Consider the following 19,126-nt stretch of genomic DNA (forward strand, 5'->3'; position numbering starts at 1 on the left):
GAGCTGTGGGATCTGGTGAGGATCTTCTTCCTTTGCCCTCACATGGCAGAAGGCCAAAGGGCAAGAGAGCTGAACACTGTGTAAAGCCTCTTTTGTAAGGGCCTTCATCCCTACTCATAAGGGGAGAATCCCCCATGACCTAGTCAGCTCTTACAGGCCCTACCTCCTAATACTATCACACAGGCAACATCTGAATTTTGGAGGGGACACATTCAAACCATAGCAGTAACAACTTGCAAAATTCTAGTGCAGATCACAACCAGGACATTGCCATTGACACAATCCACTTATCTTTCCCCAAATTTTACTTGTATTCATTTGTGTGTGTGTGTGTGTGTGTGTGTGTGTGTGTGTATGTGTGTGCGTGTATGTAGTTCAATACAATATTATCACAGGTGCAGGTTCATATATTCACAACCATAATCAAGACACAGAACAATTCCACCCCACAAAGATACCTGTTACCATCTTATAACTAACTACACACCACAATCCCTTCTGCCACCACCCATTCCATCCCTAGCCACTGACAACCACCAATCCATTCTCCATTAAAATTTTTGTCATGACAAAAATGTTTTATTAATGGAATCATATAGTATGTAACTTTTTGGGGCTGACATTTTTCACTCAGTCTAATTCCCTGAAGATTGATCCAAGTCATTGTGTGTACCAAGAGTTCATTCTTTTTTTTTTAATTGCTGAGTAGTATTCCATGGCTGGTATGTACTCTTTTTTTTAACCATTCGCCCATGAAAGGTGAGAAGGGATGTTTCTACTTTCTTAGTATTACAAATATAACTGCTATGAGCAGTTATATACATGTATGGGTTTTATGTGAACAGAAGTTTTCATTTTTCTGGGATACATGCCAAGGAGGGCAATTGCTAGGTCATATGGTATAGTTGCATATTTAGTCTTTTAAGAAGCTGCCAAAGTGTCTTCTACCGTGGCTGTACTATTTTACCTTCCCAGTAGCAATGTGAGTGATCTGATTTCTTCGTATTCTCACAAGTATTTTGGTGTTGTCATTATTTTTTAAATCTTAGCAACTCTGAGAGGTATGTAGTGATATCTCATTTTGGTTTTAATTTGTATTTCCCTGATGACTAATGATACTGAACATCCTTTCATTAAATTATTTCCCATCTGTATATCCCTTTTGGTGGAATATTGGTTCATGCCTTTTGCCTATTTTCTCATTGGATTGTTTGTATGTTTTAGAATTTGGGAGATCTTTGTATGTCTAGATATTGCAAATATTTTTCTCAATCTGTAGCTTGTCTTTTTATTCTCTTCACATGATCTTTTGCTGAGCAAAAGATTTTTATTTTGGTAAGATCTAGATGATCACATTTTCCTTTTATATGTCATGCTTTTGGTGTTAAGTGTAAAAACTTATTCCATAGCCCTAAATGCTGAAATATTCTCCTGTGTTTTTTTCCTAGAAGTTTTATACTTTGGTTTTAAATATTGTTTAGAAGATGCTCAGTTACTTATTCTCTGAGTCATGTCCAGTACAGGGATTGCCAAGGGTCTCTGTGTTCTTTTTTAAAAAATTATGGTAAAATACATATAACATAAAATTTACTTTCTTAACCATTTTTAAGTGTACAGTTCAATGGGATTAAGTACATTCTCACTGTTGTGCAGCCATCACCACCATCCATCCACAGAGCTCTTCTGATCGTTCCAAACTGAAACTCTGTACATATTGAACAGTAGCTCCCTCCTCCCTCTTGCCCACAGCCCTTAGCAACCACCATTCTACTTTCTATCTCTATGCATTTAACACATAAGCGGAATAATACAATATTTGTCTTTTTTGACTGGTTTATTTCATTTAGCATAATGTCTTCACACTTCATCCATGTTGTAGCGTGTGTCAGAATTTCCGTCCTCTTTAAGGCTGAATAATATATATACCACATTTAGCTTATTAATTAATTCATCAGTGGACACTTGGGTTGCTTCCACCTTTTGGGCATTGCAAATAATGCTGCTATGAACATGGGTATATAAATATCTCTTCAAGGCCCTGCTTTCAGTTCTTTTGGGTATATACTCAAATGTGGAATTGCTAGATCACATGGTAATTTGATTTTTAATTTTTTTTTTTTTTTGAGACAGAGTCTCGCTCTGTCGCCCAGGCTGGAGTGCAGTGGCGTGATCTCGGCTCACTGCAGGCTCCGCCTCCCGGGTTCATGCCATTCTCCTGCCTCAGTCTCCCGTAGCTGGAATTACAGGTGCCCGCCACCATGCCTGGCTAGTTTTTTGTGTTTTTAGTAGAGATGGGATTTCACCATGTTAGCCAGGATGGTTTCGATCTCCTGACCTCGTGATCCAGCTGCCTTGGCCTCCCAAAGTGCTGGGATTACAGGCATGAGCCACTGTGCCTGGCCGATTTTTAATTTTTTAAGGAACTGCCATACTGTTTTCCACAGCACCTATACTGTTTTACATTCCCATCAACAATGCACAACTGATTGAAATGCTCATCTATTCCAGAGACACCCTCATAGACACACTGGAAATAATGTTATATCAGGTATCTGGACATCCCTTAGTCCAGTCAAACTGACACCTAAAATTAACTATCACCATCTATTATCTGCCTTTATGCCAGTGCCACACTGTTTTGATTATTGTCGCTTTGTAGTAAGTTTTGAAATCAGGACGTGGGAGACCATTAACTTTCTTCTTTTTCAAGTTTTTTTTTTTGAGACAATAGTCTTGCTGTGTTGCCCAGGCTGGAGTATAGTGGTTATTTACAGGTGCAATCCCACTACTGATCAGCATGGGAGTTTTGGCCTGCTCCATCTGCAACCTGTGTTAGTTCACTTCTCCTTAGGCAACTTGGTGGTCTCCCACTTCCAGGGGGTCACCATATTGATGCTGAACTTACTGTGGACACCCAATCAGCACTGTGCACTACAGCCCAGAACTCCTGGGCTCAAGCAATCCTCCTCCTGTCTCACCCTCCCGAGGAGCTGGGACTATAGGCACGAGCCACCACACCTGGCTCAAAGTCATTTTAGATGTTTTACATCTTAAGTCCACGATCCATTTCAAGTTAATTTTTGTGTAAGTTGTGAGATTTAGGTTGAGGTTATTATTTCCGCTATGGATGTCTAATTGCTCCAGCACTATTTGTTGAAAAGTTTTGAATTGCTTTTGCATCTTTGTCAAAAATCGGTTGAGCCTATTTGGATCTATTTCTGGGTCCTCTGTTCGGGTCTATTGATCTATATGTTTATCCCTTTGCCAATACCATATGATCTTGCCTACTGTAGCTATATCAGGTAGAGTGATTCCTCCCACTTTATTCTTCTTTGTCAAGATTATTCTAACTATTCGAGGGTCTTTAACTTTCCATATAAATTTTAGAATATGCTTGTCTAAATCTATTAAAAACTTTGCTGGAATTTTGATAGGCATTGAATGAAACTTATAATTCAGTTTGAGGAGAATTGACATCTTTACTATGTTGTCTCCCAACACATGAACACACTCTGTCTCTCCATTTGTTTAGCTCTTCCATTATTTCTTTAATCAGCATTTTGTAGTTTTTGGCATACATATCCTCTATGTGTTTTGCCTAAATATTTCATTTTCTTTTGAGTGACTGTACATGGTATTAAGTTTTAAATTTCATTTTCTTCATGTTCATTGTTAGTAAATAGAAATGCAATTAATGTTTGTGTGTTAATCTTATATCCTCCAACTTTGCTGAACTCATTGATTAGTTCCTGTAAGCATTTTATGGGGATTTTCTGGGATTACTTCCCCTTCATTCCTGAAAGATACTTTCATTGGATATAAAATTCACAGCTGATAGCTCCCCCAGCACTTGAAATATGTTGTACCACTTCCTTCTGGCCTCCATAGTTTTGCTTTTTTTTAGAGATGGAGTCTCACTGTGTCCAGCGAGTGTTAGAGTCCAGGCTGGAGTGCAGTGGCATGATCTTAGCTCACTGCAACCTCTGCTTCCTGAGTTAAACAATTCTCCTGCCTTGGTCTCCCGAGTAGCTGGGACTACCAGCGTGTGCCACCACACCCAGCTAATTTTTGTATTTTTAGTAGAGATGGGTTTTCACCATGTCGGCCAGGCTGGTCTTGAACTCCTGATCTCAAGTGATCTGCTCGCGTAGGCCTCCCAAATGGCCTCCATAGTTTTGGATGATAAATCCACTGTCATTTGAATTGGTGTTTAACTACAGGTGATGTATTGTTTCTCTCTGTCTGCTTTTGATATTTTTTTCTTTGTCTTTAGTTTTCAAAAGTTTAATTATGATGTGTCTTGGCATGGATTTATTTGGGTTTATTCTGTTTGGGGTTTTCTCAGCTTCTTGGATGTGCTGGTTTGTGTCTTAACCAAATTTTGGAAGTCTTCAGGCATTATTACTTTAGTTATTCTCTCAGCCTCATTCTTTCTCCTCTCCTTCTGAGACTGCAATGATATGCAGTGATACAAACACTGATTTTTTTGTTATTGTCCTATGGGCCCCTGAGACTGACTCTCTCTCTCTATGTGTATATATATATGTATACACACACACACACACACATACACACACACACATATATATATATCATTTCTTCCCACAATATTATGTCTTTGTTGTTTAGACTGGGTAAATTCTATTGATCTGTCCTCAATCAAGCACTGATTTTATCTTCTGTCATCTCTCCCCTATTGAGGCCATCTAGTAGGCTTTTATTTCTGTGGTTGTATTTTTCAGTTCTATAATTTCCATTTGGTTCTTCTATATAACTTCTTTTTTGGTGAGATTTTAAATTTTTTTATTCATTCCAATAAAATTTGAATCAATTGTTGAAGCATTATTATGATGGCCACTTTAAAATCCTTGCCAGATAATCCTAACAACTGGTTAATCTCAGTGTTGGTGCCAGTTGATTCTTTTCACATTCAGGTTGTGATATTCCTCATTCTTGGTATGACAGGTGAGTTTCAGTTGTGTCTTAGATATTTTGGCCATCATGTTAGGAGACTCTGGGTCCTACTTAGTTCATTGGTTGCAACATCAGTCACCTTGTTTACATTTATCATGCATATCTCGGTCTGAGGACTGAGGTTCCAGTGGGCTGAGGTTCCAATGACAATTTAATTTTCAGATGCTTTGTGGTGTTCTTTTCATATGCTTGGTTTCTTTGGTGCTGCTGGAGCTCCTGCTGGTTCCTGCTGGTGCTGCCTGAGAGGGCAGAAGGGGTGTTCCCAGGTCAGGCTGCCCAGCTCTCTTGGCAGGGGAGGTGAGTTTCGGGCCCAGTGTGAAAGGAGAGTGCTTCCCCTGGTTGCTAATTGTTAGTGGGGCACCTGAGTAATCTCCCCTCTGGTGGTGCTGGGCTCATGTGGAGTTGTCAGAGGGACTCCTCTTCAAATTGTAAGAGGGCTGAGCCTGTTTTGGCTGCCTTCTGTTGATAGGCTGGGTGTCTGGAAACACCAGGCCTGGGTCATCTTCTTCCACTGAGTGGGGGCACATAAGATATCCTGCCACTGAGTTGTTCCTTTATTCTTAGGGTCCCAAACTAATGCATAATTCCCTTGCCAGCTTTCAGTGTTATCTTCTGATTGCCTCTTGCATTGTTTTCACAGTTCATAGTTGTACTTGACAGGAAGGAGCAGGGGGAAACAAGTTTACACCATTTTGTCCAGGCCAGAAGTCGTCTTTTCAAACATTTAAAAAAGTAGATCACTGTATTAGTCCGTTTTCACACTGCTGACAAAAACATACCTGAGACTGGGTAATTTAGAAAGGAAAGAGGTTTAATTGACTCACAGTTCCACATGGTTGGGGAGGGCTCACAATCATGGCAGAAGGCAAGGAGGAGCCAAGTCCTGTCTTACATGGATGGCAGCAGGCAGAGAGAGAACTTGTGCAGGGCAACTCCTCTTTATAAAACCATCAGCTCTTGTGAGACTTATTCATTATGAGAACAGCAAGGGAAAGACCCGCCCCCATGATTCAATTCCCTCCCACGACACGTGGGAATCGTGGGAGCCACAATTCAAGATGAAATTTGGGTGGGGACATGGCCAAACCATATCAATCGCCAAAGAGCTCATTGGAAACTCAGCATGTGTGAAGGGCCTTGTTAATTAGAGGGCTTCACTGTAGGATGATTTGACCAGGCTTACTGATATCTTTTTGTTTCCTCTTGGGCTGTCAGATCCCTCAATTTCAATTCTCTATTTGGAGGTCATAGCTGACCTGCCAGCTTTCTGGGAGCTGAGTGGGAATAGGGTTTTCCATTTAGAACATGGAGTTTCTTTTAATTACCCAGTGTTCACACTGCACCACTGCCTTCACCTCTGCTGAGTGTCTTAGTCAAGAGCCCTCTGGTTTACCTTCTTTGGAAATGAAACACCTGGCTTCTACCAGGTGGTGGTTGATTCTCCTGTATGTTTAAAGGTACCTGGTGTTGCCAATTCTGGACCTTCTCTGTGGATTCTGAGGTATAGAAGAGTTGCATCTGGGCTTCCCACTGCTGACTTAGAGTCAGGACTGCTACGCTGCTCATCACACATCACCTGCTTTCCAGAATCCGTGGTGGTATTGTTATGTCCCTGTAGAGTATGTTGTATACTATGTTCCTGAGAGTTTATGCTATATATTTTTTTCTCTTTACCATCTACTTTAATTGTAGTGAGCTTTCAAAAGGAAGCAAAATTAAAATGTGTATTTTATCTGCCACCATTAACTGGAAGGCTTGCCTCACTTCTCCTGCTACAAAATGAGATCTTCGATCAGAAGCAGGCTTGAATTTGGTTCCATGAAAATGAGTAAGGCGTGAAGTCTATGGATAGAGGGATTAGCAGAAATGTGGCAGGCAGAGAAGGCAAATCCAGATTCAGAATACATATCAGTAAAACTTTAGTAGAATGACCAATTTCAATTCTTAGGAAACCCACAATCCATTAGTCACTCCCAAGGATCTCTGTAGGTCAAACCATCTGATTACCACCCACTCCAGCCCTGCTGCTTATTACAGTAACCATGCCCATTTTGCCTTTGGTGCTTATGAGCCATTCCTTGGCCATTGTCAACCCTAAGATCCCATTATCCTCCCTGAAAGCAGGAAGGCCACTTCATAGGCAAAGGCTCCCACCCACACCCTTGACAGGCCAAAGTTGCCAGCATTTCTCACCAACAAGTTCCTCAGTGATGGGCAAAAGTGTCCTCTAAGCCCTCTCAGCAAACACAGGTGGGGATGGATGACATACCTAATAAATCCACTCCAACATTCTGGGCTGCCTGTTTTTGGATCCTTTTATGTAATGTAAGAGCATTTCCAGCATCTCAACTTCTTGCATCATAGGCCACCTTTAACCCAGAAGTCAGTGAAGAAGCAAGCAGGCCATTAGAAATTCTCTCGACTTCTCAAGCTCACCCTTGAGCACCTGTTGCTGGTATACTCCTGAAATGATTTTCAACATCACACAGCCCTCTTAGCAGTAGATCACAGAATCTTCACTGGCTAGTGTGGTATCAGACAGATTACAGAAACTTCAGGAATGCTCGAGTCAGGATTGCAGGATACATAGCCCAGACAATGGCCAAACCACAGCCAGTAGGGACAGATCCCTCAGCTTGTATGGTGGACAGTGGAAAGTAGACTCCAGAAGTTCCAACACTGCTGTCCATCAGCCCTTCGCCAAAATATGGATGCTGCAGGTTCCTGCTTCCTGTTCCAAACTGAAGTTTTGGGATGGGCGCATACAATGGGTTGAGCTCAGTGGCATGTCTGTGTTCCTGGGGAAGCTGGGAAAATAAATTCTGGTTTCTACCACAGGGAAGAAGGACTACTTATGTGGGAACTGTCCAAAACATAGGAAGACTATTTAGGAGATGCAGGAAGGCCACCAAGTGTGACAAATATCTGCCACCCAAATATCCTGAGTTCAAGCAATTCTCCTGTCTCAGCCTCCCGAGTAGCTGGGACTATAGGCACACGCCACCATACCCAGCTAATTTTTGTATTTTAGTAGGCACGGGGTTTCACCATATTGATCAGGCTGGTCTCGAACTCCTGACCTCAGGTGATCCACCCACTGCCCTGGCCTCCCAAAGTGTTAGGATTACAGGCGTGAGCCACTGCGCCCGGCCCCATTTTGTGTTTCTCTTAAATGACCCTGTGATATACTAAGATTCCTAATGAAGGCAGAAGCTATCAGTTAAAAATATGAGTAGACAACCTGGATGAAGCTTAAAATAATTATACTAAGTGAACGATGTCAGACAAAAAAAGTACATACTGTATGATTCCTCTTACATAAAACTTTAGGAAATGCAAATGAATTATAGTGACAGAAAGCAGATCAGTGATTGGGCTGGGGTGTGTGGGAAGAGATGGAGGAGAGATTTTAAAAGGGGATGAGGAATAGTTCGTGGGTGACAGATGTGCTCCCTGTCTTGATTGTGGTGGTGGTGGTTTCACGGATGTGTATACATATGTCAAAACTTATCCAATTGTACACTTTAAATATGTGCAGTTTATCACATGCCACTTATGCCTCATTAAAGTTATTTTCAAAATATTAGACTGCTTCCTATTTGCTGGCCATCTAAATTTCAATTTCTGTAAAATGGGAAAAATAATACCTACCTTATAATTTTGGTGTGAAGATTAAATGAGTAAAAATTAAAAGGATGAAATGAGATGACATCTTCCCTTGGATTCCACTAAAAGTCTTGGAGTCACCCTTTCTCCCCTCTTTTTCTACACCCACATGCAACCTCTGGGTTGATTAGAGTGGGTGGAGATAGAGATGAAACAGGGTTGGCCGTGACTTGAAGACTTGACAGTTACTGAAGTGGGGAGATGGGTACATGAGAGGTCAGAATATGATCCTCTCTACTTTTGTATGTATTTGTATTTTCCACAATAATAATTTAAAAATAAACAGTGAGGCTGGGCATGGTGGCTCACACTTGTAATCCCAACACTTTGGGAGGCCAAGGTGGGAGGATCATTTAAGGCCCGGAGTTTGAGACCAGGCTGGGCAAAATAGTGAGATTCCATCTCCACAAAAATTTTAAAAATTAGCTGGGTGTGGTGGTAGGTGCCTGTAGTCCCAGCCACTCAGGAGACTGAGGTAGAAGGATCATTTGAGCCCAGGAGATCCAGGCTGCAGTGAATTGTGATCACACCACTGCACTCCAGGCTGGGCAACAGAGCGAGACCCTGCCTCAAAAAAATAAAAATAAAAAATAAAACACAGTGTTTCCCGGTTTCAACTCAGAGGAAAACCCAAGTCCTGATGCTGGCCCACGGGGGTCAGCATGATCCCCTACCCTAACCTCTCCCCTTACCTCCTCCTACTCACCTCCTCGTTCACTGCTCCAGCCCTATTGGCCTCCGTGCTGTTTTGGGAACGTGCCAGGCACTCTCTTGCCTCAGGACCTTTGCTCCAGCTGTTCCCCCACTGGGAATCCTCCACGGTTTGACCCCTCTCAAATGTGATCCTCTCGGTGAGTCCATCCTGACTACTCCATTTAAAATCGTTACCACCTCCTCCTCCCACTTCCCATGCGCCTTCCGTTTCACTTGTCTCCACAGCCATAACCATCATCTGATGCCCCGTATAACTATTTATTTATTTCTGTCTCCCCTACCAACCTTGCCCCGACCTCCTGACGAATGTAAGCTCCATGAAGACCGGAATTCCTGCCTGATTTGCTCACTGCTGACTCTTCAGCATTTAAAGCAGTGCACAGGTTCTTGATGAATGAATGAGCCACATACACATGTTCTACTTGAATGCCTGGTAGGCAGTGAGCACTATGGGATCCATCATAATCTAAAAATATTTCATTAAGTCATTTGATAAATCTAAGTAAATTGTTCAGTCAGTATCTTCTGGCCTGGTCTTTGAAAATGAGACTACGATTGATGAACGTTTTTGTTAATTCACGAGAGGCAGCAAGGTAGGGAAGGGTTCCCACAGTCTTTGTAAGAGGGCAGATCTGCTTCAAATCCTGGCGCAGCCCATGTCCGCTGTGTGACTTGGCCAAGGTGCCTAGCCTCTCAAGCCTCGTCTCCTCACTGGCTGTGCTTGCTAGCAATGCCCTGCAGTCCAGGGCTGGGCTGGAAGCTCACCACCTGCCCTCCCTGAGTGAGCCCTTGCCTTTTCAGCAAGAGGGACAGGACCACCTCCAGAGCTTGCTCAGGTGCTGTGTCCCTCTGGGACCTGCTGGTGGGGTGAGCAAGTGATGATCAGATGCACCATTTAAAAGGGACAGAGGCCAGGCGCGGTGGCTCACGCCTGTAATCCCAGCACTTTGGGAGGCCGAGGCGGGCGGATCACCTGAGGTCGGAAGTTTAAGACCAGCCTGGCCAACATGGTGAAACCTCGTCTCTACTAAAAATCCAAAAAAAAAAAAAAAAAAAAAAAATTAGCCGGGAGTGGTGGTCAGCGCCTGTAATCCTAGCTACTAGGAAGGCTTAGGCAGGAGAATTGCTTGAACCCTGGAGGCGGAGGTTGCAGTGAGCTGAGATTGCGCCATTGCACTCCAGCCTGAGCAACAAGAGCGAAACTCCGTCTAAAAACAAAAGGGACAGAGAGTGATATTGCTGAGATCACAAAAGGGAGGTGACTCAGTCCTAGCCCAGCCTGCTGTCATCTCTCCTATACCCACCCCCTCCCCCACTCCCCCGCCTGACGTTATAAACAAGTGACTCAGAGGAATGATGGGGGTGTGTCTCATAATAGTTCATTCCAATGTCCTGGGGGCTAAATTTAACACACAGCTGCAGCCTCTGGCACTTTGGGAACAAGTTAATCTTGGTGACTGAGGCTGATGTGTGTGTGTGTGTGTGTGTGTGTGTGTCTGGTGGTGGGGCGGGGTGGGGAGGGTGTGGGGAGGGGTGTCAGTAGTCTAGAACAAGGTAGGCATCAAGACTGGCTGTCCTGGGCTTCAACCCTGGTCCCTCAGACCATAGACAAGGTGCAGGGGCCCCATGGCCAGGCAGTCTCAGGTCTGGCCTAATATGCACCAAGAATAGTGAGTATAGATAGCTAAAGTCCTGAAATATTAAACTTGTAGTGTTACTTTTTGAACACTAGAATTCAGAATGTCACTCCCTAGAATGTTAAAACCCCGGGGGTTTAAAAACCTAGAATAGTAGAATCCTAAGAAATTAATTTGCTAGCACATCTGACACCTTAGAAGTGTTAAAACTAATAGTGTACTCCCAGGACACAGTACCTTGGTGCTTCTAAACTTCCAGCAGAGTTGAACTGAGGTCCTTAGCATCTAACTTTGCCACCTCCTCATTGTGTAGGAAGGGAAACTGTGGCTTAACAGAGCGACATGCCCTGCCCCAGGCCTCATAGGAAAGTGGCAACCTTGTTTACCTAAGGTACCTTCTTGCTTTCTTGCAAGGAGGAGGGACAGAAAGAGGAAAAGCTCTTCCCATTTTAAAGGTGAGGCAACGGGGGTGGTGTCTTATGTCTGTAATCTCAGCTACGAGGGAGGCTGAGGCAGAAGAATGGCTTGATCCCAGGAGTTCAAGTCCAGGCTGGACAACATAGTGAGACCCTGCCTCTTAAAATAAAGGCAGGGCAACAGGGCCGCCAAAAAGTGAACACCATGTCCAACTTCTGACCAGAAAACCCAAGCACCCTGTATCCAGGGGTAGCTGGAGTGAGACATATTCCGGGGGGGAAGATGGAGGCACCAGGACAGAAGTTCCCAGAAAGCATGAAGGAAGGGAGACCCTGGAAGAGAGGCTCCAGTGCTTTCCCGTCTCTGGACTGAGGGTCAGAGCTTAGGCCACCTTCTCCCCTAGGGGCATCTCCTGACCAAAGAATCCAGAGTCAAGACCTCTCCGTGCTCCATTTAGAAATGAGGCAGCCAGGCCCTCATCTTTCAGAAGGGCCCAGACACCCCACCCCCGTCCCATAAGCCCCCGGGGCTGAGTCAAGTCTTTCTCTGGGAGGGGGCCTCTGCCCAGCTGTCCCCTGTGCGTCATGTGCAGGAGGCCAGGCGGCTCGCCTTACAGGGACCCGGCCACCTCTATATATAGCCCCTCGAAGACAGCTGCTCAGTCTAAGCAAACCCCAGCAGGAAAGCAGGGGTACAGAGAGGAGCCCCCTTGGCACCGCCACCGCACCCTAGGCCACCCACCATGGCGCTGGGCTTGGAGCAGGCGGAGGAGCAGCGGTTGTACCAGCAGACGCTCCTGCAAGACGGGCTCAAAGACATGCTGGACCATGGCAAGTTCCTCGACTGTGTGGTGCGGGCGGGCGAGCGCGAGTTCCCGTGCCATCGCCTGGTGCTGGCCGCCTGCAGCCCCTACTTCCGGGCGCGCTTTCTAGCCGAGCCGGAGCGCGCGGGCGAGCTGCACCTGGAGGAGGTGTCCCCGGACGTGGTGGCCCAGGTGCTGCACTACCTGTACACATCAGAGATCGCGCTGGATGAGGCGAGCGTGCAGGATTTGTTCGCCGCGGCACACCGCTTCCAGATCCCTTCCATCTTCACCATCTGCGTGTCCTTCCTGCAGAAGCGCCTGTGCCTCTCCAACTGCTTGGCCGTCTTCCGTCTCGGCCTCCTGCTCGACTGCGCGCGTCTCGCCGTGGCTGCCCGCGACTTCATCTGCGCTCACTTCACGCTGGTGGCGCGCGACGCTGACTTCCTCGGACTCTCGGCCGACGAGCTCATCGCCATCATCTCCAGCGACGGCCTTAACGTGGAGAAGGAGGAGGCAGTGTTCGAGGCGGTGATGCGGTGGGCGGGTAGCGGCGACGCCGAGGCGCAGGCTGAGCGCCAGCGCGCGCTGCCCACCGTCTTCGAGAGCGTGCGCTGCCGCTTGCTGCCGCGCGCCTTTCTGGAAAGCCGCGTGGAGCGCCACCCTCTCGTGCGTGCCCAGCCCGAGTTGCTGCGCAAGGTGCAGATGGTGAAGGATGCACACGAGGGCCGCATCACCACGCTGCGGAAGAAAAAGAAGGGGAAGGATGGAGCCGGGGCCAAGGAGGCTGATAAGGGCACAAGCAAAGCCAAAGCAGAGGAGGATGAGGAGGCCGAACGTATCCTTCCTGGGATCCTCAATGACACCCTGCGCTTCGGCATGTTCCTGCAGGATCTCATCTTCATGATCAGTGAGGAGGGCGCTGTGGCCTACGATCCAGCAGCCAACGAGTGCTACTGTGCTTCCCTCTCCAACCAGGTCCCCAAGAACCACGTCAGCCTGGTTACCAAGGAGAACCAGGTCTTCGTGGCTGGAGGCCTCTTCTACAACGAAGACAACAAAGAGGACCCCATGAGCGCATACTTCCTGCAGGTGCCTGACCAGCCTTGGGAGCCGCCAGCTAATGCTGGGCTCTAGGCACTGTGGACAGTCTTGGGGCCCAGAAGGGGCTTGTGTCTACACAAGTGAATGCCACTGGGTCTAGGGTGAGATGTAGACTGGGGAGGTTGACTGATAGCCACCTACTTGAAGGTTGAAGACAGTCAATAGGCAGCTGCCAAAAAGCAGCATAACTTTGGTATCTTAATTTCAGGGGTGTGGTAGCCCCAAGTTGGCATATGTTGGAGGCCCTGGCCCTGCACAGGGGTTGGGGTGGGGCACAGTAAGGAGCAGCAAGGTCGGTGTGAGGATCCTGGGCAGGGCCTCTGCGTGAAGGCCAGGCCCGGAGCTCACAGCAGTGTCCCAGACAAAGGAACAATCCTGTATGGTCCTCCCATTGTACAGATGAGGAAACTGAGGCCCAGGAGGTATCAGCAGAGTGGAGTGCCAGGTCTGAGTTGGGGTGTGACTGTGAGATCTCAAAGGGCAGAGACAGTTTCCTGGAGACTGGCCATATAAGTTTGAGCCTTGCCAGTGGGGTGGGATTTGGAGATGTGAAGGGGAAGATGGCAGTGTTTCCGGCCAAGGAACGGTAAGCAAGGGATAGAACTGGGGCTGAGCCTGGTGAGTGGTGTGCTCAGGGAGGCCTGATCAGCAAGAGGGGTGACAGGCGCTTGGTGCCAGGGTTAAGCTCACAGGCCTTACGGTTGCACTGGGGGATGAGGGCAGCTTCACCAGCTACTAGCTCAGCAGTGTGGGCACATTGTTTATTCTCTCTGGGCCTCTGTTTGTAACTGGGGATATTCTCCTTCCTGCATGATAAGGTTGTTGGAAGGTTAAATGATGCTTATAAAGTGCTCATCAGCAAGGTGCTCAGCCCTCAGAAAACTTTCCAAAAAGATGAACCCCTAGTATTAATATCTTAATTATAAAGCTGTGGAGGTGGACAAGGCTGTGGACTGTAGATTTTACAGGGCGAAAAGGCAGGGCCGTATTTGGAAGTTTCCTGAACAGTGGGATGGGGTGGAGAGGAGGGGGCAGGCAGGCCTCAGTTGGGAGTTGTTCAGCCTGGGAAAGCAAGGCCATAGCTGGACCTCCCTCACAGAGCTCCCCCTCATTTCTGTGCTGTGGTGCCCTACCGCCTGCTATAATGGTGGTTGCCAGGAGCCTGCCTGGGTGTGGGGGACGCTCATCTGCTCTCAGCCTGATGGTAGGAGGGGCACTGTTTCTCAGGGCACCTCCAGGCTGTATTGGCCCTACCTGGGTTCCCGACCTCCTCCGTGATCTGGGGCAGTGGGACTGAGTGGGGCTGGGCTGAGGCTGGGGGAGTGGGGGGCGGTAGCTGACTGGACACCTGGCCTGCAGTTTGACCATCTGGACTCAGAGTGGCTGGGGATGCCACCGCTGCCCTCGCCCCGCTGCCTCTTTGGCCTGGGAGAAGCTCTCAACTCCATCTACGTGGTCGGTGGCAGAGAGATCAAGGACGGCGAGCGCTGCCTGGACTCGGTCATGTGCTACGACAGGCTGTGAGCATGGCTGGGGTGGGGCTGAGCTCCGTGGGGGTGAGTGGGGCATGGAGGCCGCAGCTGGTCTAGGGCCTGGGGTGGGATTTGGAGCTAGAGCCTTGTGCTTAGAGTGAAGGTGGGCTTGGGTAAGGGCGGGGAGGTTGGGGGGCAGGGTGGGATCAAAGAACTGAGAGGCCTCGGAAGTTCCAGCAATGGATCTGACGCATCTCGAATATGTGTTAGGTGGATGGGCGGATGGGTGCAGAGACAGGGACTGAGCCGAGCCTGGATGGGTGCCCTCCCCCACCCCCACTCCCGTCTCCTCCAGGTCATTCAAATGGGGTGAATCGGACCCGCTGCCTTACGTGGTGTATGGCCACACAGTGCTCTCCCACATGGACCTTGTCTACGTAATTGGCGGCAAAGGCAGTGACAGGTGAGGCTGGGCCTGGAGTGAGTCTGTGGAGCAGAGGTAGAATCTCCCAGAGGCTGTCAGGGGTTTGTCCTGGCTGCCCCGGCAGGTGATTGCAGGGAGGCGTGGCTGGGCTCCTGCTTCTCTCCACCCATCCCCACCCTCCACCCCACAGGAAGTGCCTGAACAAGATGTGCGTCTATGACCCCAAGAAGTTTGAGTGGAAGGAGCTGGCACCCATGCAGACCGCCCGCTCACTCTTTGGGGCCACTGTCCATGATGGCCGCATTATCGTGGCAGCTGGGGTCACCGACACAGGGCTGACCAGTTCTGCCGAAGTGTACAGCATCACAGACAACAAGTATGAAAGCTTGTCCCTTCCGCCAAGGACAACTGCATGGCTTTGGGCTTCTGTCAGCCCCAGCAGGAGCTGCAGTCCCTGTCTTGGGTCTCCAGTGTTGACTTTGGACATCAGTATAGAAATAGGCTTTCTCTCCTGATCAGCAGTGAGGTGGGGAGGCGGGGCAAGGGTTATGGCCAGCCTGGTCTGCAGGAGGGGGCTCCCAGGGCTGGGGGAGGGGATGCCAGGTTCCTCATTCAGGGACTCATACCAGGCAATGGCCTGGTGCAAGGGATATAGCAGTGAACAAGACAGAAGCTGCCCTGCCTGGGACATCAGAAAAGAGAAAACTGAACTGAGAGACAGTTGGACTCAGCTCGCAAAAGGGGTGAGGGTGGTGGGAGGAGGTTGCCCCAGACTAAGGAAAGGTGGTGCTGAGGCAGTTTGGAGAAAAAACTCAAGGCCTATAGGAGGGAAGGTGTTGCTCCAGCTGGGTGGAGGTGGGTGGGTGATGGAGTTGGGATGGCGGTGCTGGGGCTGGAGCGGGGGCCAGCAGGAGAGGGACTGTATCTCATCTGTGTTCTACTAAAGTACTTCATGGCAACTGATATAGAGAGCAGATTAGGGATTTCCCAGGGGTCAGGAAGGTCAGGGGTGATAAAGGCCTGGAGCTGGGGGCACAGCGGAGATGGGGTTGAGGGGATGCACCGGACAAAGACAGGCCAGGGCTTCTTACACTGTGATGGGCATGCAAATCTCCTGGGGATCGCCTTAAAGTGCAGATTCTGATTCTCGGTATGCGGAGGGCTGAAAGCCTGTAAGTCTGCATTTCTAACGCACCCCCAGGAGATGCTGACGCTGCTGGGCCATGAACCACACTTTGAGTAGCAAGAGTCTAGGAGGTGGGAGAAACAGGGCTTAGCTATTGATTGGATGTGGGGGTGAGAGGGGGAGAAGTACATGCTTCTGAGTGAGGGTGGGAGGCCATTTACTGGATAATCATTGGGATTGGGTAGGGAAAGTGAGGGTCCAGTTAGGACATGTGGACTTGAAGTACCTGGGGGTGTCCAAAAGGACCCCACCCGGGAGAGAGAGGGCTGAGCTGGAGGGAGAGATCTGGGGGTCAGTAGCACACGGAGGGGCCAAGCTCCCTCAGGAGAGAGAGTGTAAATGGGAGGAGCTGAGGTCCAAGCCCTGATGGTGGAGGCAGCTGCATTATCCAGGAAGGAGGCCACGAAGGTGAGGCCGAAGAGATGGGTGAGGAAAGTCACGTCAGCAGGGCTGTGTGCTGTAGGACCTCAGTGCGTGTGCAGTGACTGTGGACCTCAGGAAGGTCAGTTTTGGAGGATGGGACTAAGGCCCAAGGCAGGAGCCAGGGTAGCGAAGATACATTGAGAACAACTGGGCTGTGAAGGGAGAAGAAGGATAGAGCAGGTGTGCAAGGTGGGTGGGGCTGCAGGGGCCGCTGAGGGGCAAAAGGACTGCGTCCAGGGCAAGGCTGGGGGCCTGCTAGGGGCTGGGGTTGTGAGTTGGAGGGTGGAGTTAGTTCAGGAGAGGAGTAGGGGCAGTGGGGAGATCCATGGTGGACTTTGCTGGACAGGTTGGATAGAATGGCAAGAGGACAAGGAAAGGAAAGTGGAGGAGCAAGAGAATGGGGAAGGAAGGGAAGACCAGAGGGACAGGGAAGGGGAATGGGGTTGGGGGCATGGGTGCCTGGGACTTGGATTGCAAAGGGTTGCAGTTGGAGCTGTGGGTGCTGGGTGGCAGGGACAGTCACTGGGCTTGCCGAGGCATCCCAATGATGCACCTTCTCACACACCCCCAGGTGGGCACCCTTCGAGGCCTTCCCACAGGAGCGTAGCTCACTCAGCCTGGTCAGCCTGGTGGGTACCCTCTATGCCATTGGTGGCTTTGCCACACTGGAGACGGAGTCTGGAGAGCTGGTTCCCACAGAGCTCAATGACATCTGGAGGTGAGTCCCACCCTGGGGAGGCAAGGGGGCATCATGAGCAAGGCTGACACCCCATAGCACCATGGTGGGGTACCAAGGCACTGGGCAAGCTCCTCTGGGGGCAAAGCGGATCCCTCTTCTAGGGAGTCCTGTAGGGAGGAATAGCCAACATACCCTGCTTGGCCGTTTCTCACCAGTTTGTTGGGAAAGTCTGGGCTTGCACAGATGACACCATGCCCCACTGTGGAGCAGCAACAGTGTTGCAGATGGGAGCAGACCCAAGCTTAGGTCATAGACTCACAGAAACAGGGCCCAAATAGCAGCCGGATTTTCTTCTCTCCTGCCTTCCGGGTGCTTGGTCTGGAGGGAGGGCTGCCACTAGGGCTGGGAAACAGTTGGAGCCCTGGCCTTTCAGAACCATTGCTCTCTATGGCTGGTCCTTTGTGGGGGTGGGAGAAGGAAACTTTAGCCTCTGGGGCATCTCCTTCCTGAACCTGCAGCCATCTGCACTGCTGCAGGCAGCCCCTGGGGAGCAGTGCTGCCGGAGGCTGAGACGTGAGACTTAGTAGAAATGGAGCATGGAAATTCTCAAGGAGAGGACATTGATGGGGTGGTGTGGGCAGTGTAGACCTTCCTGGAGGGGAACTTTGAGGAATATGGGAACACCCCTTGAGAGGTGATCTTTCCTGGGGAGAAAGACCCTTCCTGGAGTGTGGGGTGGGTGTTCCTTGGGGTGGGTCTTGTGGGGGGTCTCCTTTCCCAGAGCCTGGGGATTTTCAGGAGCAGATCTCCCTAGAGATGGGCCAAGTGCCCTCAGCCACCCCTCTCTGCTGCGTTCCACTCTGGACTCAGCTGACCAAGCTCTCCATCCTTGTCCCCACTCTCTCTCATCCCCAGGTATAACGAGGAGGAGAAGAAATGGGAGGGTGTCCTGCGGGAGATCGCCTATGCAGCAGGTGCCACCTTCCTACCAGTGCGGCTCAATGTGCTGTGCCTGACTAAGATGTGACCAGCTCAGGCAGACTGAACTAAGCACCCCTCCCATCCTGCGACCCTCACTGGCCTGGCCTTGTGGGGGCTCCAGAAAAGAGGCTAGGAGAGGCCAGAGTCTACCTGGATCCAGTTATGGTGCCTCAGGGGCTGCGTCAGCCAAGGAAAGGGAAGTGCTGCTTAGTCCTGGACTTTTGGGCAAGGGTGAGAAACTAGAGGCTTCTCCAGTGTTGCCATATCCCCCTAGGTTGTCTTGATCCATGAACCAGAACCACAGGGCGGTATCCCAGGCCGTGTGCTGGCCCTGCCCCAGCCTAGCTGAGTGTGCTGGCAAAGTTCCCCACAGGACTCAGCCTTCTCGTCTGTCCGATGGGAGCATCCCCATCAAGTGCAGTGTACAGTGCAGATATGTCTCCTTCTTTAGGAAGAATAAAGTGCCTTCTGAGCAAGCAGCTCAGGGTCTGCATCAGTGCTCCAAGAGTCAGTGAGCAGGTGTGTTGAAGACTTGGGGCTTCAGTGTTCTGCTGTTGGGCTGCCAAGGTCGATGGTCTCTGCTCTCCATCTGGTGTCCCCTCCACCCTATGGGTGGGAACCCTCCCCTGCCTGAGGCCTAGAGCCTC

General features: G+C 49.2%; 1 protein-coding gene, 1 long non-coding RNA gene and 1 pseudogene across 3 annotated transcripts in view, besides 5 other annotated features; 1 reads left to right on the forward strand and 2 right to left on the reverse strand.

The window, feature by feature from the left end:
• LOC124906232 (uncharacterized) overlaps window positions 1–10,333 on the reverse strand; it is a 17,685-nt gene extending 7,352 nt beyond the window's left edge. The window contains exon 1 of one of the 2 annotated variants that reach the window (XR_007095893.1): window positions 9,347–10,333. This is a non-coding gene — a long non-coding RNA (uncharacterized LOC124906232). Of the gene's footprint in view, window positions 1–7,243; window positions 7,967–9,346 lie in introns of those variants that run through there. The other variant, XR_007095892.1, reaches the window with a different exon arrangement.
• On the reverse strand, window positions 2,721–3,023 carry RN7SL567P (RNA, 7SL, cytoplasmic 567, pseudogene; annotated as a pseudogene).
• Window positions 9,725–10,226: an enhancer, noted in NCBI's record as "H3K4me1 hESC enhancer chr3:42724685-42725186 (GRCh37/hg19 assembly coordinates)". NCBI's record gives its function as "activates a minimal SCP1, AML or CMV promoter by ChIP-STARR-seq in naive H9 embryonic stem cells {active_cell/tissue: H9 hESC(naive)}" and the evidence as "EXISTENCE:reporter gene assay evidence [ECO:0000049][PMID:30033119]".
• Window positions 10,227–10,726: an enhancer, noted in NCBI's record as "H3K4me1 hESC enhancer chr3:42725187-42725686 (GRCh37/hg19 assembly coordinates)". NCBI's record gives its function as "activates a minimal SCP1, AML or CMV promoter by ChIP-STARR-seq in naive H9 embryonic stem cells {active_cell/tissue: H9 hESC(naive)}" and the evidence as "EXISTENCE:reporter gene assay evidence [ECO:0000049][PMID:30033119]".
• Window positions 10,227–10,843: a biological region, named in NCBI's record as "Sharpr-MPRA regulatory region 14812".
• Window positions 10,549–10,843: an enhancer, noted in NCBI's record as "tiled region #14812; K562 Activating DNase unmatched - State 8:EnhW". NCBI's record gives its function as "activates a minimal TATA promoter and a strong SV40 promoter by Sharpr-MPRA in K562 cells {active_cell/tissue: K562}" and the evidence as "EXISTENCE:reporter gene assay evidence [ECO:0000049][PMID:27701403]".
• Window positions 12,069–19,076, forward strand: KLHL40 (kelch like family member 40). The gene is made up of 6 exons (NM_152393.4): window positions 12,069–13,302; window positions 14,674–14,834; window positions 15,142–15,249; window positions 15,401–15,586; window positions 17,391–17,537; window positions 18,414–19,076. Exons 1-6 carry the CDS (start codon window positions 12,151–12,153, stop codon window positions 18,523–18,525), a joined length of 1,866 nt encoding a protein of 621 aa, NP_689606.2. The 5' UTR covers window positions 12,069–12,150; the 3' UTR covers window positions 18,526–19,076.
• Window positions 14,592–14,816: a silencer, noted in NCBI's record as "fragment chr3:42729552-42729776 (GRCh37/hg19 assembly coordinates)". NCBI's record gives its function as "represses an EF-1alpha promoter that drives an FKBP-Casp9 reporter gene in an ReSE screen in K562 erythroleukemia cells {active_cell/tissue: K562}" and the evidence as "EXISTENCE:reporter gene assay evidence [ECO:0000049][PMID:32094911]".

Source organism: Homo sapiens, chromosome 3, assembly GCF_000001405.40.
Source record: "Homo sapiens chromosome 3, GRCh38.p14 Primary Assembly".
NCBI lineage: Eukaryota > Metazoa > Chordata > Mammalia > Primates > Hominidae > Homo > Homo sapiens.